This window comes from Homo sapiens, chromosome 6 (assembly GCF_000001405.40).
Source record: "Homo sapiens chromosome 6, GRCh38.p14 Primary Assembly".
NCBI lineage: Eukaryota > Metazoa > Chordata > Mammalia > Primates > Hominidae > Homo > Homo sapiens.
In genome coordinates this window covers 23,407,156-23,435,095 of record NC_000006.12, presented here as the reverse complement: position 1 = coordinate 23,435,095, position 27,940 = coordinate 23,407,156, and the positions used below count along the sequence as shown (strand labels likewise).

Below are 27,940 nucleotides of genomic sequence, written 5' to 3'. Positions count from 1 at the left end.
AAAGACAAGATATGGATTCCAGTAATAGTGTTTTAAAACACACTCTTATGTACTTACCTACATTACAGTATTTCAAAGTAATAGAAATCTTGGCCATCAAAAGTATGTTCATTAATTTCACACTGTGTGCATATAAATAAATAGCTAAGCTCAGCATAGACTTTCAAAGTCTTTCAATACCATCCATTTATCTATTCTTTTAGCTTCATTTACTGTGATGTTGGAGCCGGCTATTTAACCACGTTTTTAGTGAATGAATTAATGCATGTTAGAAGTAAAATTGTTTTTATTGCATGGAATTGCTTCCACTAAAGCTGGAAAATAATGTTTAAAATGGAGGAAGGAAAGAAAGAAAATGAAGCACCATTACTCTGCATTTCCCTGTCTCCTATTCAGATACCTTACTGTTCGATTTAAATAATAATAAAATAGTCACCCAATATTAGGGCAATGAGGTAGTCATCGCAGTGATGGGATAGATGATACTCTGAAGAGAAAAATTTAACTGACTTCTATACTTCTGTTTACACCCCCATTTTCTATAGCATCCTGTTGCCAAGTTATAACAAAAATATTTCTAAGATAATCTGGAGTTTTGTTCAACAATTCAGATCAATGTTGGAGAAGGATGATCCGTTCTGCATAGAACCCCTGTAATGAGAATAACCCATTTAAAGACATTTTACTCGACGTTAGTTGCGATACCAAAAAAAAAAGCCACTTGGGTAAAATTATGATCACCAGCTTTTCACCTCTGAAGTTTTCAGAGATATGCCATCTCCCACTAAGACTCCTATAAGGCAGAAATTAAATATCCACCCTTATCAGCTGTGCAGGCTTCCCTGTAGTCATGCCCACAGAGTTTAATCCAGACAGCAGTGTTTTGTCATCCGTAAATCTCTTCTATTTTTATTTTTGGGTGTGTTCAGATATATAAATGTGGTATTTTCACAGGCTAGGCTGCAAATTGGAGGCACAGCATGCAGCAGTAAAGAAAAGCTCATAGAAAAGGGGGAAAAAAGAGCTCAGGTATTTTACTCTAAATTGACAAATGGGATGTTCCTGAACTCAAAGGAATTCTTTAGCTCACTATTGAATTGCTATTAAAAAATGTATTACCGAGAAAACAGACCCAAATTGAGACCCTATAGGAAATAGAATTTCAGTGTATTTTCTATTATTCACAGTAAGAATTAGCACCAGACTGTGCATATCACTGAGTTAAATGTAATGCAAAATGAATTAAGTAAAGGGGGAAAAAAAGCCTGTCTGCTCTGGAAACTTACAATGAAGAACATTGAGGCAGAAAGAAAGAGGAAAGATAGCATGTCACTTGTTATGTGCATACTCAAGGGAGAGAGCAAGTTGTAGTAATGTGTTTGACTGAATGGTTCTTGAGAGATTGCCAAATCTCTTCTTGATAAGATTTGATTTTGAAGCAACTCAGGTGATACCTAGATGTATAAGGATATGAATTTAATGCATGGTGGAGAGTAGGGCATTGCAGGATTATGGTGGAAGCAGAAGGGAAGCTCGAGATATTTTGCAAAGACTGAAAAATGAGTGAGAGGGAACAGAATGGATTTGCACAAAAATATAATGGTACCCAGTTTTCTCCACTGTCTGTCTTAGAGTAATGCTTTTGTAATGTGTTTAGTTAATGTTTCAAGGAGTTCAAGGTAATCGTAGATATCTGCTGCAGAATTTTGGAGCTAGTTCTGGTGGTAAGTTTAATGGCAAAACTTCTATGCACTCGTGAAATTTATTTGGGTGAAAGAAGCAGCTTTTAAGCATTATTATCTATTGGCCACTTTTGATTTCCAATATACTTGGTATTAGTATGTTAGGAATATTGTGAATCTTTTCAAAAGAACAATGTTCACAGGCAACAAAGACTGTATGTATGACATACACAAAGGTACACAGTTTATAGTCCCTAAGAGTCCATTTTAAGTCTATTCAACCTTCAACGTCCATTTTTTATTTTCATTGAAGTAGCTGTGCTATTTTACTGTTGCATATAAATTGAATTATGAGGATATAATACTATATTTATAAGGATGGTGTGACTAGAGTTTAGTTGTATATAAAAATCTTGGAAATAATTTATTTGGGAATATGACAGTTATAACATATCAAGCCCTTTCAAATGCGTTTACCTTCTCTTTAAAGACTGCCCATCGCAGCCATTTGGACAGACACTGAGCTAGCTGCAGGAGTTTCTTTTCATACCCTAGTGGCACCTGGAATGCCAGTGAGACAGAACCGTTCACTCCCCTGGAAAGGGGGCTGAAGCCAGGGAGCCAAGTGGTCTAGCTCAGCAGATCTCAACCCCACAGATCCCAGCAAGCTAAGATCCACTGGCTTGAAATTCTCACTGCCAGCACAGCAGTCTGAAGTCAACTTGGGATGCTCAAGCTTGGTTGGAGGAGGGGCATCTGACATCACTGAGGCTTGGGTAGGTGGTTTTCCCCTCACAGTGTAAACAAAGCTGCCGGAAAATTCAAACTAGGCAAGGCCCACTGCAGCTCGGCAGAGCCACTGTAGCCAGACTGCCTCTCTAGATTCCTCCTTTCTGGGCCAGGCATCTCTGAAAGGCAGCAGCCAAAGTCAGGGGCTTATATATAAAACTCCCATCTCCCTGGGGCAAAGCACCTGGGGCAAGGGGCAGCTGTGGGCGCAGCTTCAGCAGACTTAAACGTTCCTGCCTGTGGGCTCCAAACAGAGCAGTGGATCTCCCAGCACAGTGGTCGAACTCTGCTAAGGGACAGACTGCCTCCTCAAGTGGGTCCCTGACCCCTGTGCCTCCTGACTGGGAGACACCTCCCAGCAGGGGTCGACAGACAGCTCATACAGGAGAGCTCTGGCTATCATCTGGCGGGTGTCCCTCTGGGACGAAGCTTCCAGAGGAAGGAACAGGCAGCAATCTGTTCCTTCCAGAGGAAGGAACAGGCAGCAATCTGTTCCTTCCAGAGGAAGGAACAGGTTGCTGTTCTGCAACCTCTGATGGTGATACCCAGGCAAAGAGGGTCTGGAGTGGGTCTCTAGCAAACTCCAGCAAACCTGCAGCAGAGGGTCCTGACTGTTAGAAGGAAAACTAACAAAGAGAAAAGAATATCACCAACATCAATAAAAAGGATGTCTACACAAAATCCCCATCCGAAAGTCACCAACATCAAAGACCAAAGGTAGATAAATCCACGAAGATGAGGAAAAACCGGCACAAAAAGGCTGAAAATTCCAAAAACCAGAATGCCTCTTCTCCTGCAAAGGATCACAACTCCTCTCCAGCAAGGAAACAAAAATGGATGGAGAATGAGTTTGACGAATTGACAGAAGTAGGATTCAGAAGGTGGGTAATAACAAACTCCTCCGAGCTAAGGGAGCATGTTCTAACCCAATGCAAGGAAGCTAAGAACCTTGAAAAATGGTTAGAGGAATTGCTAACTAGAATAACCAGTTTCGAGAAGAACATAAATGACCTGATGGAGCTGAAAAACACAGCACAAGAACTTCTTGAAGCATAGACAAGTATCAGTAGCTGAATTGATCAAGTGGAAGAAAAGACATCAGAGATTGAAGATCAACTTAATGAAATAAAGCGTGAAGACAAGATTAGAGAAAAAAAATGAGTAAGAATGAACAAAGCCTCCAAGAAATATAAGACTATGTGCAAAGGCCAAACCTACGTTTGATTGTTGTCCCTGAAAGTGACGGGGAGAATGGGACCAAGTTGGAAAACACCCTTCCGGATATTTTCCAGGAGAACTTCCCCAACCTAGCAAGACAGGCCAAAATTCAAATTCAGGAAACACAGAGAACACCACAAAGATACTCCTCGAGAAGAGCAACCCCAAGACACATAATTATCAGATTCACCAAGGTTGAAATGAAGGAAAAAATGTTAAGGGCAGCCAGAGAGAAAGCTCAGGTTACCCACAAAGGCAGGCCCTTCAGACTAACAACGGATCTCTCTGCAGAAACCCTATTAGTCAGAAGAGAGTGGGGGCCAATGTTCAACATTCTTAAAATAATTTTCAACCCAGAATTTCATATCCAGCCAAACTAAGCTTTATACGCAAAGAAGAAATAAAATCCTTTACAGAGAAGCAAATGCTGAGAAATTTTGTCACCACCAGGACTGCCTTACAAGAGCTCCTGAAGGAAGCACTAAACATGGAAAGGAACAACCGGTACCAGCCACTGCAAAAACATACCAAATTGTAAAGACCATTAACACCATGAAGAAACTGCATCAACCTATGGCCAAAATAACCAGCGAGCATCATAATGAAAGAATCAAATTCACACATAACAATATTAGCCTTAAATGTAAATGGGCTAAATGCCCCAGTTAAAAGACACAGACTGGCAAATTGGAGAAAGAGTCAAGATCCATCAGTGTGCCATATTCGGGAGACCCATCTCACATGCAGAGACACACGTAGGCTCAAAATAAAGGGATGGAGGAAGATTTACCAAGCAAATGGAAAGAAAAAAAACAAACAAAAAAAAAAAACCAAGGGTTGCAATTCCAGTCTCTGATAAACCAGAATTTAAACCAACAAAGATCAAGAGAGACAAAGAAGGGCATTACATAATGGTAAAGGGATCAACACAACAAGAAGAGCTAACTATCATAAACATATATGCACCCAATACAGAAGCACCCAATACAGATTCATAAAGCAAGTTCTTAGAGACCTAAAAAGAGACTTAGACTCCCACACAATAATAATAAGAGACTTTAACACCCCACTGTCAATATTAGACAGATCAACAAGACAGAAAATTAACAAGGATATTCAGGACTTGAACTCAGCTCTGGACCAAGTGGAACTAATAGACATCTACAGAACTCTCCACCCTAAATCAACAGAATATACGTTCTTCTAAGCACCACTTCGCACTTATTCTATAATTGGCCACATAATTGGAAGTAAAACACTGCTCAGCAAATGCAAAAGAATGGAAATCATAACAAATAGTCTCTCAGACCACAGTGCAATCAAATTAGAATTCAGGATTAAGAAACTCACTCAAAACTGCACAACTACATGGAAGCTGAACAACCTGATCCTGAATGCCTACTGGGTAAATAACAAAATTAAGGCAGAAATAAATAAGTTCTTTGAAACCAAGGAGAACAAAGACACGATGTACCAGAATCTCTGGGACACAGCTAAAGCAGTGTTTAGAGGGAAATTTATAGCACTAAATGCCCGCAGGAGAAAGCTGGAAAGATCTAAAATTGACCCCCTAACATCACAATTAAAAGAACTAGAGAAGCAAGAGCAAACAGATTCAAAAGCTAGCAGAAGACAAGAAATAACTAAGATCAGAGCAGAACTGAAGGAGATGAACACATGAAAAAGCCTTCAAAAAATCAAGGAATCCAGGAGCTGGTTTATTCAAAAGATCAACAAAATAGATAGACTGCACTCCAGCCTGGGCAAGAGTGAGACTCTGTCTCAAAAAAAAAAAAAAAAAAAAAAAAGATAGACTGCTAGCCAGACTAATAAAGAAGAAAAAAGAGAAGAATCAAATAGAGACAATAAAAAATGATAAAAGGTATATCACGACTGATCCCACAGAAATGCAAACTACCATCAGAGAATACTATAAACACCTCTATTCAAATAAACTAGAAAATCTAGAAGAAATGGATAAATTCCTGGCACATACACCCTCCCAAGACTGAACCAGGAACAAGTCAAATCCCTGAATAGACCAATAACAAGTTCTGAAATTGAGGCAGTAATTAATAGCCTACCAACCAAAAAAAGCCCAGGACCAGATGGATTCACAGCCGAATTGTACCAGAGGTACAAAGAGCAGCTGGTACCATTCCTTATGAAACTATTCCAAACAATAGGAAAAGAGGGACTCCTCCATAACTTATGTTATAAGGCCAGCATCATCCTGATACCAAAACCTGGCAGAGGCACAACAAAAAAAGAAAATTTCAGGCCAGTATCCCTGATGAACATCGATGCAAAAATCCTTAATAAAATAATGGCAAACCAAATCCAGGAGCACATCAAAAAGCTTATCCACCACAATCAAGTTGGCTTCATCCCTGAGATGCAAGCTGGTTCAACATACACAAATCAATAAATGTAATCCATCACATAAACAGGACCAATGACAAAAACTACATGATTATCGCAATAGATGCAGAAAAGGCCTTCGATAAAATTCAACACCGCTTCATGCTAAAAACTCTCAATAAACTACGTATTGATGGAACATATCTCAAAATAATAAGAGCTATTTATGACAGACCCACAGACAATATCATACTGAATGGGCAAAAGCTGGAAGTATTCCCTTTGAAAACTGGCACAAGACAAGGATGCCCTCTCTCACCACTCCTATTCAACGTAGTATCGGAAATTCCGGCCAGGGCAATCAAGAAAGAGAAAGAAAAAAATGGTATTCAAATATAAAGAGAGGAAGTCAAATTGTCTGTTTTCAGAAGACATGATTGTATATTTAGAAAACCCCATTGTCTCAGCCCAATATCTCCTTAAGCTGATAAGCAACTTCAGCAAAGTCTCAGGACACAAAACCAATGTGCAAAAATCACAACCATCCCTGTACACCAAAAATAGACAAACAGAGAGTCAAATCATGAGTCAACTCCCATTCACAATTGCTACAAAGACAATAAAATACCTAGGAATACCACTTAGAAGTGACGTGAAGGACCTCTTCAAGGAGAACTACAAACCACTGCTGAAGGAAAAAAGAAAGGGCACAAACAAATGGAAAAAACATTCCATGCTCATGGATAGGAAGAATCCATATTGTGGAAATGGCCATACTGCCCAAAGTAATTTATAGATTCAATGCTATACCCATCAAGCTACCATTGACTTTCTTCACAGAATTAGAAAAAACTACTTTAAATTTCATATAGAACCAAAAAAGAGCCCATATAGCCAAGACAATCCTAAGCAAAAAGAACAAAGCTGGAGGCATCATGCTACCTGATTTCAAACTATACTACAAGATTGCCATCACCAAAACAGCATGGTACTGGTACCAAAACAGATATACAGACCAATAGAACAGAACAGAGGTGTCAGAAATAATGCCACACCTCTACAACCATCTGATCTTTGAAGAACCTGACAAAAACAAGCAATGGGGAAAGGATTCCCTGTTTAATAAATGGTGTTGGGAAAACTGGCTAGCCATGTGCAGAAAACTGAAACTGGACCCCTTCCTTACACCTTATACAAAAATTAACTCAAGATGGATTAAAGACTTAAATGTAAGACCTAAAACCTTAAAAACCCTAGAAGAAAACCTAGGCAATACCATTCAGGACGTAGTCATGGGCAAGGACTTCATGACTAAAACAGCAAAAGCAATGGCAACAAAAGCCAAAATTGACAAATGGGATCTAATTAAACTAAAGAGCTTCTGCACAGCAAAAGAAACTATCATCAGAATGAACAGGCAACCTACAGAATGGGAGAAAATTTTTGCAATCTATTCATCTGACAAAGGGCTAATATCCAGAATCTACGAGGAACTTAAACAAATTTACAAGAAAAAAATAACGACCCCATCAAAAAGTGGGCAAAGGATATGAACAGACACTTTTCAGAAGAAGACATTTATGCAGACAACAAACATGAAAAAAAGCTCATCAACACTGGTCATTAGAGAAATGCAAATCAAAACCACAATGAGATACCATCTCACACCAGTTAGAATGGTGATCATTAAAAAGTCAAGAAACAACAGATGCTGAAGAGGATGTGGAGAAATAGGAATGCTTTTACACTGTTGGTGGGAGAGTAAATTAGTTCAACCATTATAGAAGACAGTGTGGTGATTCCTCAAGGATCTAGAACCAGAAGTTACCCAAAGGAGTATAAATCATTCTACTGTAATGACACACACAAGTATGTTTATTGCAGCACTATTCACAATAGCAAAGACTTGAAACCAACCCAAATGCCCATCAATGATAGACTGGATGAAGAAAATGTGGCACATATAAACCATGGAATACTATGCAGCCATAAAAAGGATGAGTTCATGTCCTTTGGAGGGACATGGATGAAGCTGGAAACCATCACTGTCGGCAAACTAACAGAGGAACAGAAAATGAAACACCACATGTTCTCACTCATAAGTGGGAGTCGAACAGTGAGAACACATGGACACAGGGAGCAGAACATCACACACCAGGGCCTGTTGGTGGGTGAGGGGATAGGAGAGGGATAGCATTAGGAGAAATAGCTAATGTAGATGACGGGGTGATGGGTGCAGCAAACCACCATGGCACATGTATACCTATGTAACAAACCTGCACGTTCTGCACATGTATCTCAGAATTTAAAGTATTATTTAAAAAATAGAAAAATAAGGCAAGTTTAAAAATTTGCAATTATTCAGCACAGAGCTAAAAAGGGGAAGTAGCATAATATTGAGGTCATCATGACCAAATGAAAAAATGATCACCGAAACAAAGTGGAAAATTGTTCATAATTCCCATGAAGACAGAAAAAGGGCAAAAGGCTCACGTTGCAGTATGAAATCTACATCTCCCAGCATTCTCTCTGAAAGGTACACATCTCTAGTGCTTTTGAATATAGCCAATTTTTAACGGTCATTTATATTTCAAGTGTGGTCCTGAGGGGGAATGACTAGATGTGTTCTCAAGCAGAGTTAACTCAGTGTGTGGGGTGGAGGTGAGGGCTGGGGAAGGAGGGAGAGTTTTGATAAGTTAGCAAGTTGTAAAATGTCTGTGGAAATACCTCTATTCTGTATTGTTTGGTCAGGTCCTAAACTTGGCTGTACTGCTTTACAAAAGAAAAGGCTTTTTGCACAAGGCCCTCTTACTTTCTCACCAAAGTGAGTTTCTGTGCCTGATTTAAGAAAATGCAGTTTGAGAGATGTGATAATTGAATAATTTTGAGGCTGTCCAGAGTACACAAGGGAAGTTGATTAAAGTAGTAAAACACAGGCTCTCTGATTAGGCTGCAGAGCTTTCCAAGCCAGAAGAACAAGCATTGTTATGAAAGCTCTTTTGCTTAACAATTTGCATTATTTGCTTAATAATTGCTTAAATAAATAATTGTATTTAAAACAACAACAAAAGAAACAAAACAGCAAAAAAAGATTGCCCATTATATTGTAAATTCCTTAGGTAAGTTCATAAAGCCTTTATAATGAAATGAGTAACCCATAAAATAAGATAAATATATTTTAGTGGTTGTTCATGGGTTGTCATTTTTTTTATAATTTCTAATTTCCTCTTAGATTCATGGGGTACATGTGCAAGTTTGTTACCTAGGTATATTACATAATGCTGAGGTTTGAAGTATGATTGATCCCATCACCAGGTACTGAGCATAGTAGCCAAGTACTTTTCCAGCCCTTTTCCACCCTTTCTTCCCTCCTTTAGTAGATGCCAGTTTATATTGTTGCCATCTTTATGTCCACAGGTACTGAAAATTTAGTTCCCACTTAAGAGTGAAAGCATGTGATATTTGGTTTTCTGTTCCTGCATTATTTTGCTTAAGATAATGGCCTCCAGCTGCATTCATGTTGCTTCAAAGGACATCATTTCATTCTTTTTATGGATGCATAGCATTCCATGGTATACATGTATCACATTTTTTTAATCCAGTCCACCACTGATAGGCACCTAGATTGATTCTAGTCTTTGCTGTTGTGACTAGTGCTGCGATGAACATGCAAATACATGTGTCTTTTTGGCAGCACAATTTATTTTCCTTTGGATATATACCCAGTAATGGGATTGCTAGATCATATGGTAGTTCTGAGCTTTTTTTTTTTTTTTTTTGAGCAATCTCCAAACTGCTTTTCACAGTGGCTCAAATAAATTACGTTCCCCACCAGCAGTGTATAAGCATTACCTTTTTTCTCCTCAGCTTCTCCAGCATCTGTAGTTTTTTGACTTTTTAGTAATAACCTTTTTTTTGTTTTTGTTTGTTTGTTTGTTTGTTTGTTTGTTTTTTTGAGACTGTCTCACTCTGTTGCCTGGGCTGTAGTGCAGTGGTGTGATCTCTGCTCACTGCAACCTCTGCTTCCTAGGTTCAAGAGATCCTCTCACCTCAGCCTCCCCAGTAGCTGGGAATACAGGCATGTGCTACAAAGGCTAATTTTTTTTTTTTTTTTATTTCTGTAGAGGAGGGGTTTCACCATGTTTCTCAGGCTGGTCTGGAACTCCTGAGCTCAAGCAATCAACTCATGTTGGTCTCCCGAAGTGCTGGGATTACAGGAATGAGCCATTACACTCGGCCATGCTGAGTGGTGTGAAATGCTGTGTCATCGTGATTTTAATTTTCATTTCTCTGCTGATTAGTGATGTGGAGCATTTTTTTCATGTTTCTTGGCCACTTGTATGTCTTCTTTTGAGAAGTGTCTGTTCATGTCTTTTGACTATTTTTTAAATGGGGTTTGTTTTTTTTTTTTTTTTGCCTGTTGCATTGTTTAAGTTCTTTATACATTCTGGACATTAGATCTTTGTCAGATAAAGCTTGAAAATATCTCCTCCCATTCTGTAGGTTGTCTGTTTACTCTGTTGATAGTTTCTTTTGCTGTGCAGATGCTCTTTAGTTTAATTGGGTCCCACTTGTCAATTTTTGTTTTGTTGTAATTGCTTTTGAGAACTTAGTTATAAATTATTTCCCAAGGTCAATAACTAGAATGGTATTTCCTAGGTTTTCTTCTAGGATTATTAAAGTTTGAGGTCTCACATTTAAATATTTAATCCACTTTGCGTTAATTTTTAATATGGTGAAAGGGAGGAGTCCAGTTTCGTCTTTCTGCATTTGGCTAGTCAGCTGTGCTGGCATCATTTATCAAATAGGGAGTTCTTTCCCCATTGCTTATTTTGTTGAAGATCAGATGGCTGTAGGTGTGTGGTGTTATTTTTGGGTTCTCTATTCTGTTCTATTGCTCTATGTGTCTGTTTTTGAACCAGGACATTGCTGTTTGGATTATCATACCTCATAGTATAAAGTCAAGTAGGGTGAATGACGTCTTAAGCTTTGTTCTTTTTGCTTAGGATTGCTTTAGCTATTTGGGCTCTTTACTGGTTCTATATGAATTTAGAATAGTTTTTTTCTAGTTCTGTGAAAAATTATGTTGGTAGATTGATAGAAGTATTGTTAAATGTGCAGATTCTTTGAGCAGTGTGGCCATTTTAATGATATTGATTCTTCCAATCCATGAGCATGGAATGTTTTTCTGTTTGTTTGTGTCACATCTGAGTTATTTCAGCAGTGTATCATAGTTTTTCCTGTAGAGATCTTTCACCTCCTTGCTTAGATGTATTCCTAGGTATTTTATTTTTGTGTGTGGCTATTAAAATGGATTACGTTCTTGATTTGGCTCTCAGCTTGAGTGTTATTGATATATGAAAATGCTACCAATATTTTTACATTAAGTTTTTTTGTCCTGAAACTTCAGTGAAGTCATATATCAGTCCAGGAGCCTTTTGGTGGAGTCTTCAGGTTTTTCTAGGTATAGAATCCTATAGTCCCCAAAGAGAGATCGTTTAACTTCTTCTTTTCCTAGTTGGATGCCTTTTATTTATTTCTCTTGTCTGATTTCTCTGGCTAGCACTTCCAGTACTATGTCGAATAGGAGTAGTGAGAGTGAACATCCTTGTCTTATTCCAGTTTTCAAGGGGAATGCTTTCACTTTTTGCCCATGCAGTACGCTGAGGTATGTTCCTTTGAGACCTAGTTTCTTGAGGGTTTTTATCATGAAGTGATGTTAGATTTTATGTAAAGATTTTTCTACATCTATTAAGATAATCATATAATTTTTGTTTTTAATTTTATCCGGTGAATCACATTTATTGATTTGCATATGTTGAACCAAGATTGCATTCCCTGGAATAAAGGCAACTTAATTATGGTGAATTAATTTTTGATGTGCTCCTGAATTAAATTCACTAGTATTTTGTTGAGGATTTTTTTTTGTCTATGTTCATTAGAGATATTGGCCTGAGGATTTTTTTATTCATTGTGTCTTTGCCATGTTTTGGTCTCCAGGTGACACTAGCTTCATAGAATGAGTTAGAGAGTCCTTCTCCTTGATTTTTTGGAATATTTTCAGTAGGATGGGTACCAGCTCTTCTTTGTACATCTGGTAGAATTTGTCTGTAAATCCATCTGGTCTGGGTCTTTTTTGGTTGGTAGACTTATTATTACTGATTTGACTTTGGAACTCATATTGGTCTGTTCAAGGTTTTAATTTTTTCCTGATTTCATATGGTTTGGCTGTGTCCCCATTCAAATCTCATCTTGAATTTTAATAATCCCCACATACCAAGGTGGGGACAGGTGGAGATAATTGAATCATGGGGGTGGTTCCCTCACACTCTTCTCATGGTAGTGAATAAGTCTCATGAGATCTGATGGTTTTATAAACGAGAGTTCCTTTGCACAAGCACTCTTGCCTGCTGCCATGTAAGACATCCCTTTGTTCCTCCTTCATCTTTCACCATAATTGTGAGGCCTCTTCAGCCATGTGGAACTGTGAGTCCATTAAATCTCTTGCCTTTATAAATTACCCAGTCTCAGGTATGTTTTTTGAGCAGCATTAGAACAGACTAACACATGGTTAAATCTTGGAAGACTGTGTGTTTCCAGGAATTTATTTATTTCCACTGGATTTTCTAGTTTGTGAATAGAGGTGTTCATAATAGTGTCTGAGGATATTTTGTAGTTCTGTGGGATTAGTCATAATGTTACATTTGTCATTTCTGATTGTAATTATTTGGATCTTCTCTGTCATTTTTTCCTTGGTTAATCTAGCTAGCTGTCTATTGATCTTGTTTATCCTTTCAAAAAACAAACTTTTGCTTTCATTGCTCTTTGTGTTGATTTTTGAGTCTCAGTTTCCTTCAGTTCTGCTCTGATTTTACTTCTTTCTTTTCTTCTTTTAAGGTAAGGGTTAGTTTGTTCCTCATTTCTAATTCCACTAAATGTGGTGTTAGGCCATTAATTTGAGACATCTCTACCTCTTTGAGGTAGCCATTCAGCACTATAAACAATTCCTGTTAACACTGCTTTTGCTGAATGCCAGAAATTTTGGTATGTTATGTTTCCGTTTTTGTTTATTTCAAAGATTTTTCTTTTATTTCTGCCTTAATTTTGTTATTTACCTAAAGTCATTCAGGAGCAAGTTGTTTAATTTAGGATAGTTAAGCTTTCAAGTTGAATTGAACCCTTCTTTTTTTCTGTAATATTATTATTTTTTTCTTTCCCTTTCTCCCTAGGGCATGTGACTAGAGAATGGTGAGTAGGGTCTTTTGGCTTTGCTTCTATAGCTTCCATGCACTTCTGCCTTGTTTTGGAATGTGCAGTTTTATCTACAAGCCAGCCAATGGCACTTTTAGGAAGAGCCAGCCATGGCCAATGTGGCTGGGTGTATACTTGATCCCTGTTTACTGGGAGAAGCTCTCTGTTGCTTCATGCAATGGCCTGATTTGTGGAGCACACAATAGTCTGAGCTCCCTGCTCAGCCCTGGGAGGTGTGGGCCAAGATGGGTGGGGCAAGACTGGGCAGGTCTGCCTATAGGTCCCCTAATGGCAAGCACAAGCACCTTCTCTGAGAGAGAATCCAGTGGTTGGCCACCAAACACCGAGAGGTGTGCCTAGGTGTGGAGCTGGGAAACCTCCTTGGCTCCAAGTTCTCTACGTGGGAAGAGGGACAGCCTGAACTCCTAATCTAGGAGAGTGGGTGCTCCAAATATGTGGAGATCTGCCTGAGAGTGGAATGAAGAGATCTCCTTGCACAAGAATCTCTGCACAGGAAGGGTAGGGCAGGTCAGGTTACTGTTCCTGGTGAGTAGGTGTTCCAAATCCCTGGAAATCTGTCTGGACGTGGAGCAGAGAGAGCCCCCCCTGCACCAAGATCTCTGCACAGGAAGGGTAGGGTGAGTCAGATTGCTGATTCAGGTGTGTGAGTGCTCTGAATGCCTCAAGATCTGCCTAGGCATAGAGCAGAGAGGGCCCCACTGCCTCACAATCTATGCCCAGGAAAGGTGGGGATAGGACTGTTGGACTAGGTGAACGAGTGCTCTGAGTGCCTGGTGATCTGTCTGGATGTAAAGAAGAGAGGGCCCCTCTGTACCAGAATCTCCGCACAGGAAGGGTAGGACAACTCAGGTTGCTAGTCCATGCAAGTGGGTGCTCTGAATGTCTGAAGATCTGCCTACACGTGGAGCAAAACCCCCACTGCATTTTGATCTATGCACAGGAAGGGTAGGGCAGCTCAGGCTGCTGATTCAAGCCAAAGGGTGATCTGAAAACCTAGAAATCTGCCTGAGTGTGGATCAGAGAGTCCTTACTATAACACAATCTATGTCCATGAAAGTTCCATGAAAGTTGGGGCAGCTCAAGCTGCTGATCCAGGTAAGTAGGGGATCCAAATGCCTGGATTCCTGTCTAGGAGTGGAGTGGAGAGGGCCCCACTGCATCATGATCTCAGGAAAACAGCTGGGGGCACCAAGCAATGGCATGTGCCTACTGGTTCCAGGTTGCCAAGGTGGCCCTGGCTGAAAGTCTTGTCGCTAAAGAGAAACTGCAGCTGTAGCAGCTCTCCTCCTGCCCCAGGCATGCAGTGGGGGACAACACAATTCTAGCATGTTCTGCTGAGGTACTTTCCACAGTTCCGGCTATGGAGACTCTTACCCTACTCCAGAACAGATGCTGCAATTTCTGACCTGAGACTAAAATGCCTGCACAGCCATGCTGCCAGGTCACCAAAGAAAGACTGACTTTTTATGCTGTCAGATGAAAAATGATGTCCCGCTCTTGGTCCTGGGTCTGGGAAAATGTCTGCAGCTTTTCCCAGTATCTTTCCCTCACAGCATCTCCAAGCCTCTCCCCACATTAGCTCCAGGGCTTGGAAGAAACAAAGTGCTCTCCCTCGGCCTGGAATAGATTCCCAGTGATAGGGTGAGTTACAGAGAGAGACTGTCTTCCCCTCTCACGTACTGGAGCTTCACTCTCTTTTTTCAGCTGCATACCATCACACGGACTGTATGATGGTATGTTCCTCCCCAGAGTGTGGGGTGTCCTTCATGATTCTGGTGGATTCTCATTTTCCTTCTTTAATTAAAGCTTGAGCCAGGCACAGTGGCTCATGCTTGTAATCCCAGCACTTTGGGAGGCTGAGACAGGGGGATCACCTGAGGTCAGGAGTTCAAGACCAGCCTGGCCAACATGGTGAAATGTCATCTCTCCTGAAAATACAAAACTTAGCCAGACGTGGTGGCACATGCTTGTAATCCCAGCTGCTTGGGAGGCTGAGGCAGGAGAATTGCATGAACCTGGGAGGCGAAGGTTGCAGTAGGCCGAGATCGCGCCATTGCACTCCAGCCTAGGTGACAGAGCAAGACTCCATCTTGAAAAAAAAAAAAAAAATCTCACAGAGTTGATCTTTATGCACTATCGTGCTATTTCCAAGTGTCTGAGATACACTAAAATCCTCTTTTTTACCATCTTGGAAATAAAACAAAATAAAACTTTTTAAAAAGTGATTGTAATGTTTAATAAACTGTTTATTAAAAATATGTTCTGTATCTATTTAATGAGTCCTTTATAATAGAAATTCAGAAATTCTAGAAATTCAGAAATAGAAATGAACCACTCGGGCAACTTGTCCTGTGCTCTTTCTAGTCCCAGTATACATGTTTTGCCTAGTCTTGGCTTTAGTAACTGTAGTGTCAGTGTGTATCACATCCTGTGCAAAAGTAGTCCACAAACTGATAGCTCTCAATGTTTGGATATTTCTTTTCTAATATTATACATTAGTTTTTAATTTATAATAAATAAATTTAATATTTAATTTGTATTTAATAAAAAATATTGGTTGAAGTTTATACAGAATATTCTTTTGGGAAATAAGTGCATTGTACATTTTCAAATTTACAAGACATTTTTAAATGCCTGCAAAATACATGGTAATATATTTTAAGTTGTTTCATTAACACTTTCCATTTCTTTGAGAATTAGATCTCTAAATTAAATTTTATTGTTATATATTTATTACGCTGAGTCACCTGATGATAAGGTATAAACATAAAAGTTTATTTCAAGGATCTGCAATCATTCAGCCTTCTTAGATTGCTGGTTAAACAGGTTGTACTATTGAATGGAGATGTTGGTTTATTTGCTTTTTTTCCACATCAGTTTTTATGTATTCATTTGTGTTTGTCCTGTCTTTGACATCAAACATAAATCACTATGAGGGTCACCCTCTTGTGTCCAATAGCATAATTAGAGAAATTTTTTTTTATACAAATATAATTCAGCTTACAAAATCTAAATGGAAACAGGTACACTTAACCAAAAATGAATTTGGGACATTCAGGATGATTTATTGCCTTATGTTCTGTTTTGCATTCCTTTTGGAAGGCACCTGTACTGTAGGGTTAAAAATTTCCATATTTGCAGCTAGAGTCCCCAGGTTCAAATTCTATTCATGTGACCTTTCAGTGTTATGTGTCCAAGTTTCCTTATTCATAAAATGGAGCTAAAATAATTTGGTAGGTGATAGAGTTGTGTAGCTATTAAATGACATTCTTCATATAGAACCTTTTTAGAGTGTCTGCTCATAGCTGATAATAAATAAGAGTAATCATTTTTATTTAAAGATATTATTTCATTATTTTACCTTGATAAGTTGCTAGTGGTGAATATGAAGATGTACCACGCAGATCCCCTTTAGGGAAGGCTTGTGGACCTCACTGCTGAGACTATGACAGCATTCAGCTGTCAGCACCTCCTGAGATTGCTTCAGCTGCAGGGACACGCGACTCAAGGTCACAACCTTTGGGGAGGCCACATGCCTTGGTGTTCAAAGCATAGGTATAATAGTGTGGCCATTTAGGCCTAAAATGGGAAAACTGTGATAGCCTAATGAAGCTCCAAAGCACCTGGTTGGGCTGAGGGTGCCAGGCCTGTATCTCAGTCCATCTTCTCTTTCTTCCTATGCCAATTACTCTCCCTCCCTGCTAGAGGTCTCAGGCATACGCAGAGCACGCTGCTTTAAAACATCTTAAACGCTAAACCCCACTGTAGGGCCTGCTTTCCAGAGAACTCAATAGGCAATCTTGCTTTACAAAATAATTGTTTAAAATACTAGATTTTCTAACAGATATATGTTTAATTCAAAAAGATAAAAAATGTAAGAAAATCTTTGTAACCAAAGTGTTATTTAAACTTGGCATGGATGTCTTCGGTGACTTCAGTTAATTCCTTGGAGACGCATCTAAGTTTAAAAAGCATTCATTATATCAAATGAGTTTCTGAAGTAGCTTTATCCTATGAAGTTGCATTTTTCACCAAAGACCTGATATCCAAAGCTCTATAAAAATATCCATAAACAATATATGTATTATGCTATTACTAATATATTTATTCAGTGGAGTAGGACATTTTCCAAAGCATTCATTAATTAAAAATGCAGAAACCATAAATAATTCTAAACCAGATGAGATGCCAGGACAATAGGCTGTTTGGATTTTTTGTGTTGGAGAGGGTGGGTAAGGAGGAACGTGTACGTGTGTCTGACGGTTGTGGAGGATGGGGAAAAGAAAAACGAGTCAGTTGCTTAAGCTGCCAAACAAGTAGGTATGTACCTCCATTTCGTGCGGAGGGTTATGTTCTGTAACAATGAAAATTTGTCACATCCAGGAAAACTGAGTAATTGCCTTAACCTGCAAAAGATGCCTTCTTACTCCTCAATCTATTTAAAACACGAAGTTTCATTTCCACCCGCCACAGCCTACTCACAGGTGCAAATGGCAAAAAACACCACATTGCTCAAAGGTCCTCATTAAGATGCTAGAAAAAAGACGCTGAAATACATTTGAGAATCCAAAATGTTATTTAATACCTGCTATGATTTATTTTCCTAAGGAGAGCTATGAACCCTAATTCATTTGTAGCAGAATTGGTTTTGTTCCTGAAAATAAAATAAATGTATTCTATATTATTTCAGAAGATGCAAAGACTCATCATATAGTGTGATAGTGATTTCTGCCTTTCAATTTTTTTCTTATTTCTCTTGGAAAAATATAACAGTTCAGATTATTTTTCACTATTAAGTGGACATAACCTTCACAAACAGATCTCAAGAGCAAGAGAGGGAATAAAATGCTTAATGGGTGGTAGGTTCCCATAAAAGTTGGATATCAAATATAATCGTAATGATATTTTCACACAACAAATATGATTTTAGTTTTATAGCAATGATCCTAAATTTTAGTTAAGATTACATTTACCCAGAGGAATTGTGAAGTTTTTGGACATAGGCTCTTCATTATTTTCTAAAGCTCTTTGATCCTCCCTATTTTAAATGTTTCTATTTCAGAGTAGAAACATTATGGACAATTACTATTTTTTACAGATCTGACAACTTTACCCAGGAACGCACTTTCTCTAGTGTTTGTGGACTTGCCTAAATACACTTATTAATTTATTTTTTTAAACATTTATTACCTGTACTGTGTGCCATACAGTATACAAAATTGTTTTTAATAATTGGTTCTTTCTTCAGTGAGTAAGCAAACTAGGAGAGGAAAATAATGCAACAAATATATAGACCAATGCAATAAAAATTGTCATAGGAGTAGTGCAGAAAAGAACATATATTAGACAGGAATCCCATTAGCCTCTCCCTTGAATCCTAGACTTGCATATCCAACTGCTAATGTGACCTCCTTTTGATTTCTAACAGACATCTCACACTTAACATACAGAAAACTGAGCACCTTATACTTCCCAAACCTCCTCTTTCTCTATTCGTTTTCAATTCAGTAAATATCAACTTTACCCAGGACAAGAAAAATGACGTCATCTTGAAGTTCTCTCTTTTTCTCTTATGCCACACCCCATCTTCAGCACGTCCTGTGGGCTTTACCTTCTCCATTGCTGCAATTTTATTCCCAGTCTCCATCATCTTTCTCTTGAATGATTGCAGTAGTCTCCTAACTGGTCTCCCAATTCCACCAGAGATCCCCTTTATGCATCTTCAGTAAGGCAGTCAGAGTGAAACCATTGTTACCACAGCATTGTCATGTCACTACTCAACTCAGAACCTTCTAGAAGCTTCCCGTTTCCCTCTAAATAAAACCAAGCCATAATCTGTGAGGTTCTACAAAATTTAGTTGCCTCTTTCTTCTGTAAACTCAAATCCCCATAGCCTTCTTCCTGAGCATTCTAATCCAGACTCACTCGCTTCTCTCTGTTCCTCAAACACTAGAGATGTGCTCCTGACTCTGGGGCCTCTGCTTGTAATTCTCTTCTCCCAAACATCTGCCTGGCTTTCTCCTTCAGATTTGTGTTTACCTGTCATCTTTTCGGATGCCCTGCCTTAGCTATCTTCTCTGTATTAGTTAGGTTAACCTAGCTTCTGTAACACCTAGACCTAAACATACATCCTGGCTCAAATACAGAAGATGTTTATTTCTCAGTCACACAATGGTCCATGGCAGAGGCTGCTGATGTGAAGAATCCTTGGTTGGTGGGGAGCTTTCCTCCATGTGGTGATTCAGTTTCTATTCTATCTTGAGGTCAACCATTCCTTAGGCCAGGGACCAGCAAAAACCTGCCTGCTGGCCAAATCTGGCCCACAGACGTTTTTCTGATATTGTATAGCCCCCAGCAATTTTTTTTTTTTTTTTGCATTATTTAAGGGTTTGGGGGCGGGAGAAAAATATGCAAATGTGTATAGTTTAAAAAACTGAAAATATTTTATATCTGGCCCTTTACAGAAAAAAAAAAATTTCCGTTCCCTGGTCAAGAGTCAAGGCCTTAGATTACAGCCAGATTAAATGTGATCATGTAAACGCCTTAACAGCTCATACCTTCTTCATCCTTTAAAAAAGAAACAAACAACAACAACAAAAAACCTAGTCTGTGAAACATACAAAAGGAGGTGGAGGGCTAGATTTGGCCTGAAGCCATAGTTTGCCATCTCCTGTTCAGGGCTGTTTACTTACTTTAGAAATAAAGTCCTCTTTTCTTTTTTCTTTTTCTTTTCTTTTTTTCCCCCTTCCTTTCTTCCCTCGCTCCCTCCCTCCCTCCCTCCCTCTCTCCCTCTCTCTCTCTTTCTTTCATTCTTTTTTTTTTTTTCAGGTCTTGCTCTGTTGCCCAGGCTTGGAGTGCAGTGGTACCGTCTCAGCTCACTGCAACCTCCGTCTCCTGGGTTCAAGTGATTCTATTTCCTCAGCCTCCCAAGTAGCTGGGACTACAGGCGTGTGCCACCACTCTCAGCTAATTTTTGTATTTTTTGGTAGAGATGGGGTTTCACCATGTTGGCCAGCTGGCCTCAAACTTGGCCTCAAGTGATCCTCCAGCCTCTCAAAGTGCTGGGATTACAGGCATGAGCCACTGCACCTGGCCAATAAAGTCATTTTCTAGCTTCAATCCCAACAGACACAGTGGAATTTTAATTTTTTTTGATGATTGGTAAATGTGAAAACTATCAGCTTAATATCCTCACCTTATGTTAAAAGAGAGGGGTTGTTCGTTAAGGGGAAAAGGAGAAAATGCATTTATTCCCTCTCCAGTGTCCTTCTGTTGCTCTGATTGGTATGGTATCCAGCAGTAGGCTGGTGGCCAGTGGGAACAAAAAATTACAGACTGGAAGGTCCTAGGGAGGCCTTGGTGATGATTTTTACTTGAGCTAAATTTTTACTTTACTGGCCTGCAGGGGTAGCTACAGGGAAAATAATTTTTTGTACAAGTCAGGGCAATGAACTCTAGTTAAAAAGGGGACTTTCCCCTGTATGTCCTGATAAAGCTTAAGGCATAAAGCCCCTGTCAGTTTAAATATATCTCTGTTTCCTGTGGTCTCTGTCTGCATGCCAGCAACATTCACTGTGAATTGTAACATTTCCTTACATGTATGACCGGGATGATAAAAATAACTACCTCGTGCTAATAGAATTTATTTACTTTGTGTGAATTTCAGGCATACTAGCACATTGTGAAGATATAAAATTGTAACAAGCTGAACCAGTGACTACTATTGTTTGGAAACAGGAGAAATACAATTTTCCTAGTGTTGGGGAAATAAATATTTGGGTGGAAAAAAAGGACATGGAAACCACACTTGCCAAAATAAAAAAAGTAATGGGTGAAAGTTCCCCTTGTTCTCATGTGAATTGAGTTGATGTCAGGTGATGTTTAACTTAATAATGAGGATGCTGGTAAAGAATTGGCCACCACATAGCATTTAGGTTAGTTCACACCAGTCCTTGTCTCCATTTCACTGTATTTTGCAAGATGTAGACTGTTGAAATATCTGGATTTATAATGCTGTGAAACCAGTGCAGGCAACATGTTTTCAGTTCAATTAAACATGTATTTGCTGAGGGCCTGCTATGTGCCAGCCATGTTGCTGGTGGATGTGGATATCATAATTATTATGTGACTACCCCTGCAACTAAGAACCTATAATCCGTTGGAGAGGGTAGCAGCCAAAAAGACCATCATGATGCAATGTGGTCATCACTGCAAACAAAGCTGTCATCACAGAAGAAGTTACCTAGGCTGGAAACCAGCAGGTCTGAGTCCAAGCTCCCAGTTTGCTCTGGTGACATTAGACAAGGTTTTATGGGCCATCGCTGCTGTGTCTTCATCTTTAATAGTGGGGAATAATACCTGCCTCACAGACATGAGAAGGTAGATAAATACAAGATAGATAGATGAATAAATAGATTGGGGGGGGGGGGGGATAGGTCACCTATTGATAACATTTGGCATCCAGAGTGCTCAATAAAGAAGTTTCTTCTTTCCTTTACCTAATTTTAAAGCTGGATTAACCTAACACACCTGAACATATCAAAGAGATGATCAAAAGTAGTAATATTTTTATAGACAATGTAGTTTTTTCTTTTAAAACACCACTCCATACATTTTACAGATACTTCATAAATTTCAAAACAGTGTCATTTTTGGCATGACATACATTTACCAGCTTGGCTTTCCTCACAGATAGCATTTTAATAAACAGCATGACTCCCCTGTTTGTTTGTGAATTAAAGGCAGCTTGCCATATTAGATTCCTATATTATCAGTCATAGTCTCATTAGATGTAATAAAAAACACATTTGCTTTTAGTGTTTCATAGGTAATGTATTTCCTTTGTTCATTTATTAATCATAATTGGAGTGTTTCTCTTTTTTCTGTCTATGCCTTTGACTATCATTTTTGAAATACTTAGGATGATAAGTATTTGCACAGATTTGACATCTGCAAAATATTTTGCAATCAGTCATTGGCTATTCATAGTACAGTAATTAGCATATGTGAGAAAATATATGGTTTATACATCCACTTGTTAAAATTATCACTAATATGTACCTTTTCTTTCTTTGTAATGTCAAAAGGTCCTTGTAATGTATATCTTATTATAAATGTTTTAACTTATATTACAGGTGTGTCTTATTATACAATATTAGAGTAATGAAAATGAATTCATTACAGAATCCCACATGACCTGAATTAACAGAAACCTTCCAGTAGCATGTATAAATGTTTACTCCCAGCTGTGTGCTTCATCACAGCAGAATTAGATGTGAGAATATATCTCAAAGTTATCAATGAATTTAAAAGGGAAATATGACCACTTTAAAGTACAGAAAAAAAAAAAAATAGGCCCGGCGTGGTGGCTCACGCCTGTAATCCTAGCACTTTGGGAGGCTGTGGTGGGTGGATCACCTGAGGTCAGGAGTTCAAGACCAGCCTGACCATCATGGTGAAACCCCATCTCTACTAAAAATACAAAATTAGCTGGGCGTGGTGGTGTATGCCTGTAATCCCAGGTAGGGGAATTGCTTGAACCCAGGAAGCAGAGGTTTCAGTGAGCGGAGATCGCACCACTGCACTTCAGCCTGGGAGACAAGAGTGAAACTCTGTCTCAAAAACAAAACAAAACAAGAAGAGTAACTTTATTACATCATCTATGGATGTGCCTACAATATCTATTAAGATAATTTTCTTTCCTCTATTATTGTTTTGTTTTCATGGGTGCAGGCTCTAGTAAGTCTTCAATCGTTTTCCAGTATATTGGAAATCTGGCCATTCAGGGAGATTTATTTTTCTCATATGTGATTACTTTCTTGGATAGAGTGAGACTGATAAAAGTGTCTTGGCTGAGCACAGTGGCTCATGCCTGTAATCCCAGCACTTCTTTGGGAGGCCGAGGCGGGCGGATCATGAGGTCAGCAGATTGAGACCATCCTGGCTAACACAGTGAAACCCCATCTCTACTAAAAATACAAAACAAAAAAAAAAATTGCCAGGCGTGGTGGCACACGCCTGTAGTCCCAGCTACTCAGGACGCTGAGGCAGGAGAATCGCTTGAACCCGAGAGGTGGAGGTTGCAGTGAGCCGAGATCGTGCCACTGCACTCCAGCCTGGCCGACAGCGAGACTGTCTCACCAAAAAAAAAAAAAAAAAAAAAAAAAAAAGTGTCTCAGGACTTGAGTTTTAAAAGCTGAAAAGACACAAAGTCATGGGCCCATCCTGAAGAGAGGGTTGTTGAATTCTTGCCTAGACAAGAAAGAGTGGTTTAGAGTAGCTAAGGGTATCAGTAGCATGGCATTGTGTGATGTAGCCCCAAAAATTCATGCATAGAAATTTGTGTTTAATCTTAAGGACGACCAGACACCATAGGGGCTTCTTGAATAAAGGTGGAAAGGGCAGAGACTCAGGCTGAAGTGCAGTGGCTCGATCTCAGCTCACTGCAACCTCCACTTCCTGGGTTCAAGTGATTCTCCTGCCTCAGCCTCCCGAGTAACTGGGATTACAGGCACCTGCCACCAAGCCTGGCTAATTTTTATTTTTGTATTTTTAGTAGAGATAGGGCTTCACCATGTTGGTCAGGCTGGTCTCAAACTCCTGACCTCAAGTGATCCTCCCACCTTGGCCTCCAAAAGTGCTGGGATTACACCGTGAGCCACCGTGCCTGGCCATCTTCACTACCTTCTATGCCTATGAGCCAGATAGGGAAAGAAAAATTAAAAGGATAGGATTCAGAGAAAAATATGAAGATTGTTTTTCCATGAAAAGTTACAGAAAGTCGCAAGACTAAACATTACAAATGTGTCAAGAAGAGGAAATGGTATTCCCAACAGCGGAAAAAATTGGAGAAAGAAAAGGGACCAGGATGATGGAGTGTCGTCAGATGTCATATTAAGCATATTCCAGAGATCATTTGTGCATGGAAATAGAGTTCCACAGTTTTTACAAATGAAGCATTCATATTAGTTGTGGTGGGTGCTACGGAAAAAGCTAAGTGCAAGATGCTGTCTTAACACGCACGAAGCCATCTTAGCAGGCTGGAGCTATCAAAAAAGGTTGCCATGAAGAAGCAGAGTCAGAGCTGAGCGATAAAGAAAACTAGGAATTAGCCAGGGGAGTGGGAGTCGGGGCAGGAGTGGGAGGAGTCATGCAAGAGGCGTGGGTGTGTCCAACAGAGGGAACTGGATCCTGTCCATTCCACGTAGGTCTGCCCTGAATCTTTTTGTAAGGGAGCAGCAAAGGTAGGGAAAAAAAACGGAAAGGGAAGGTGGAAGGGGAAAAGAGAGGAAAGTCAGATAAAAGTAATAAGCAAAGGTTTAGCAGACTATTAGTTCTTTTCCACAGAATAAGTGGCATATTGAATATTTTAAAACTCAGTTATCACTTTCAAGACACAATTACTTTGAATTATTTTTAAAATATCAGAATGATTCAGCCTTTCTCAGCCATCAATCTAACATATTTTGATGGCCTATGATTAGTTTCGAGTTCCTGACACCGAATTTGGTAATCAGGAGATATAGACAACAAAATTATTTTCATGCCTTCAAGGAGCCTATAGTCTAGTTTGACAAGGAATCACTATGTTAACTGGTAATATTTAAAATGTATTTTCTCGGCCGGGCGCGGTGGCTCACACCTGTAATCCCAGCACTTTGGGAGGCCGAGGAGGGCAGATCACAAGGTCAGGAGATCAAGACCATCCTGGCTAACACGGTGAAACCCCGTCTCTGCTAAAAATACAAAAAAAATTAGCCAGGCTTGGTGGCGGGTGCCTGTAGTTCCAGCTACTTGGGAGGCTGAGGCAGGAGAATGGCGTGAACCCGGGAGGCGGAGCTTGCAGTGAGCTGAGATCGTGCCACTGCACTCCAGCCTGGGCCGCAGAGCGCGACTCCGTCTCAAAAAAAAAAAGCATTTTCTCTTTAAAAAAAATTGTTACTAATATAATTCTCATTTCCAGTTTCCTATCTCAGTAACAACTCCTTAAGAAATGATGCAACAGAATTAAGCAGTAATGAGCTGGTGATTCCCGTGCACACTTTAAAAGCACTAGTGTGTGTTTCAGAATTCTGTCAGCCATAGCAGATAGCAGCCAAAGCAGTCCAAAAAAACGTGACTTTGAAAATGTGGTTGTTAGATCACAGTACTTAAAGTGGTTTTAGACAATTTACAGTGATTCCCTTAGAATTTCTGTGGAAATCAGTGTATCTCTATTCCAATTCTTTCAGTTCTGCAAAAGCATCAGAAACCCCTGTGTGGAAGGTGTGTGGGTGGAGGTTCTGCAAGCACCTTTCATCCTGAGGGAGGGCTGACTTTCCTACCACAGGCTGGGCTACGCACATGATCTGCTTCAGAGACACGGTTTTTGAATTGCAAGAGTGACAGAAGACCAGATTTGTTTTTAAAACTGGGAAGTAAATTACAGATGATCTGATACAAACTCCTAATTTTATAAGAAAATAAATGATGACCAAGATGCTTAAATTATTTACTTAATAACACTTCGTTAATGACATAGCTTAGATTATAACCTATATCTTCAGTTCCTGAAACAACGTTCTTTCTTACTATGCCATGCTACTGTAAGTTATTTAGTGCAGACTTAAAAAAAAAAAAAAAAAACACCCAATAGATTTCAGAATGTATTTCCTTGGCAATCAGAGACAGGTTTGAGAAAAATAGTAATTGTGAATAAAATTTGATTCAAGTATTTTTAAACAGGTGCTTCCATCTGAAACAAGGGGAAAAAAGAACCTTTCTCTAGTCAACTGAACATGGGTATTATGTGAACAGAAATGCAAATTGGAGCATCATTCAGTCCTCTCTCCCCATTCTCTGAAAAATCTTTTGTTTCTAAGTAGAAATTAGCTAGAGAAAAGATCCCCTTTACAGGAGAGGCAGGGCACCCACGTTATCAGCTGTGCTGTGCCGTCTTCCTCTCTCCTCTTTTAGTACCTGGAAGGCACAATTGTATGTTCCTACTGGCATTACATTCTTCATTATGTAGTTTTTCCTTTATTCTGAATAACTCAAGAATAGTCCCAGAAAAAAAGGGGGAGAGGAGGACAGAATGAAAGAGAGAGACAGCAAGAGAAAAGTCAGAAATTCATTACCTTTTGCAAAGTACTCATTATGGTGAAAAGTCGCGAAGGACACAGAAGAATGTAGAAAATTACTATTAGGCACAGACAAATGTAAGTAAGTATTCCCGACTATATTGGGGATGAGACATAGAATAAAAAAGCTTGCTGGTGGCAAAGCAAGCAGACGGGAAAAGAGTAATGGAAATGAAACACGTTGAGGCATCTTAGTAAGTGAGACCCACGAGGAGAAGGGAAAATAATGATTTTGTCATTTCTAGCTGAATGTATTGGACGAACCAATATCAAATACAAACTGCTTGTGGCTATTTATAGCAACTCCCTCTGATTTCCTTCTATAATTCAGGACTGGTCTTTAGTGTCACGACCGTTCTTTTTCTTCCCTCTTTCCCCTCAACCTTCTGCAATGGTTTTATTGCAACTCAAGTCCCGGAAGATCTTGTTTTCCAAATGGACTTTTCAGTGGCCACTCTGATTAGTACAAAGGACTGCAATAGAAGCCCATCAAGTTATAGGCAGAGACATTACGGTGACTTTTATATCCAACTTTAATCTCAGGTTCAAACATAAAGCCTATAGCTACAATCTCAAGAATAGATCAATGTCAAAGGTAGCAAAGCAGGTCAAACTGAACGCAGCACAGAGAGCTTGAGGCGACTGAAAATCATATCAAGGTAGCAGGTCATCGTCATTCCACTTCATGAATACTTTACAAAGCAGGGACTTGTGGTCCCCAAACCATTTAAGGCTTTTATTGCTTTGCCAGGCAGCCTGCTTAGAATCCTGACTGTCAAACATTAGCACCTAGAGGGCTCTCCAAGGTTGGTGGAATTTTCAGTTCATTTGTCGTTCTGTCTACATAAGAGCAGTTGAGTTTATAATAGACACTTTGGTGCACTGGTATATTCATCCCTGATATCACGCTCATCTCTGCAACTGTGATGAAATAAGCAATGCTTTCAGGTTGCACACAGCAGAAAAACACAGCTGTGCATATATGGTGAGTATTCCATACATTTCAATAAATTCAGCACATTCAAGTAAGTTTACTGAATAAAGGTGCAAAAAATGGAAAAAGAATAAAGGAAGAATTAATTAATGAAACAAGAAAGGCAGGCAGGAATGAAAAAGGGTAGAAGAAATATAAATGGGAGAACAAAGGGAGGAAGTAAACTAGAGAAGACCTAAATAAGAGGAAGGAAGCAGTGGGTCTTTTAGATTCAACTATAATTTTATTGACTTGTAGAATTCAACTTTTAACAGTAAAGTTATTTTTATAGTTGGTCATCAAAATGTCATTATTGAGAAAGATGTGGCTAGGAAATTAATGGTGATAGTTCATTTTGGATTTTTAGGACAAACAATTGGAGCTTTGTGAAGAAGACCCATATGTTATTTTCTTCGGTTTAAAATTTGATATGGGGCAATTAAGAACAAGCAAGCGGTAATGGTCAACTGAGGACACAGACAGGGACTCCTGTGCAAAAGTTTAGAACTGTAGAAATAGATGTACAG

At 39.2% G+C, this 27,940-nt stretch overlaps 2 long non-coding RNA genes across 3 annotated transcripts in view, besides 1 other annotated feature; one reads left to right on the top strand and one right to left on the bottom strand.

Annotated features, from left to right (window-relative positions):
• LOC105374975 (uncharacterized) overlaps nt 1-19,021 on the bottom strand; it is a 36,848-nt gene extending 17,827 nt beyond the window's left edge. The window contains exon 1 of the long non-coding RNA XR_001744048.2: nt 18,934-19,021. This is a non-coding gene — a long non-coding RNA (uncharacterized LOC105374975). The remainder of the gene's footprint in view (nt 1-18,933) is intronic.
• LOC105374976 (uncharacterized) overlaps nt 1-27,940 on the top strand; it is a 289,589-nt gene that overhangs the window by 191,239 nt on the left and 70,410 nt on the right. The gene's annotated exons all lie outside the window — the stretch shown is intronic.
• Nucleotides 20,622-20,851: an enhancer, noted in NCBI's record as "active region_24149". NCBI's record gives its function as "activates an Ori minimal core promoter by ATAC-STARR-seq in GM12878 lymphoblastoid cells {active_cell/tissue: GM12878}" and the evidence as "EXISTENCE:reporter gene assay evidence [ECO:0000049][PMID:35858748]".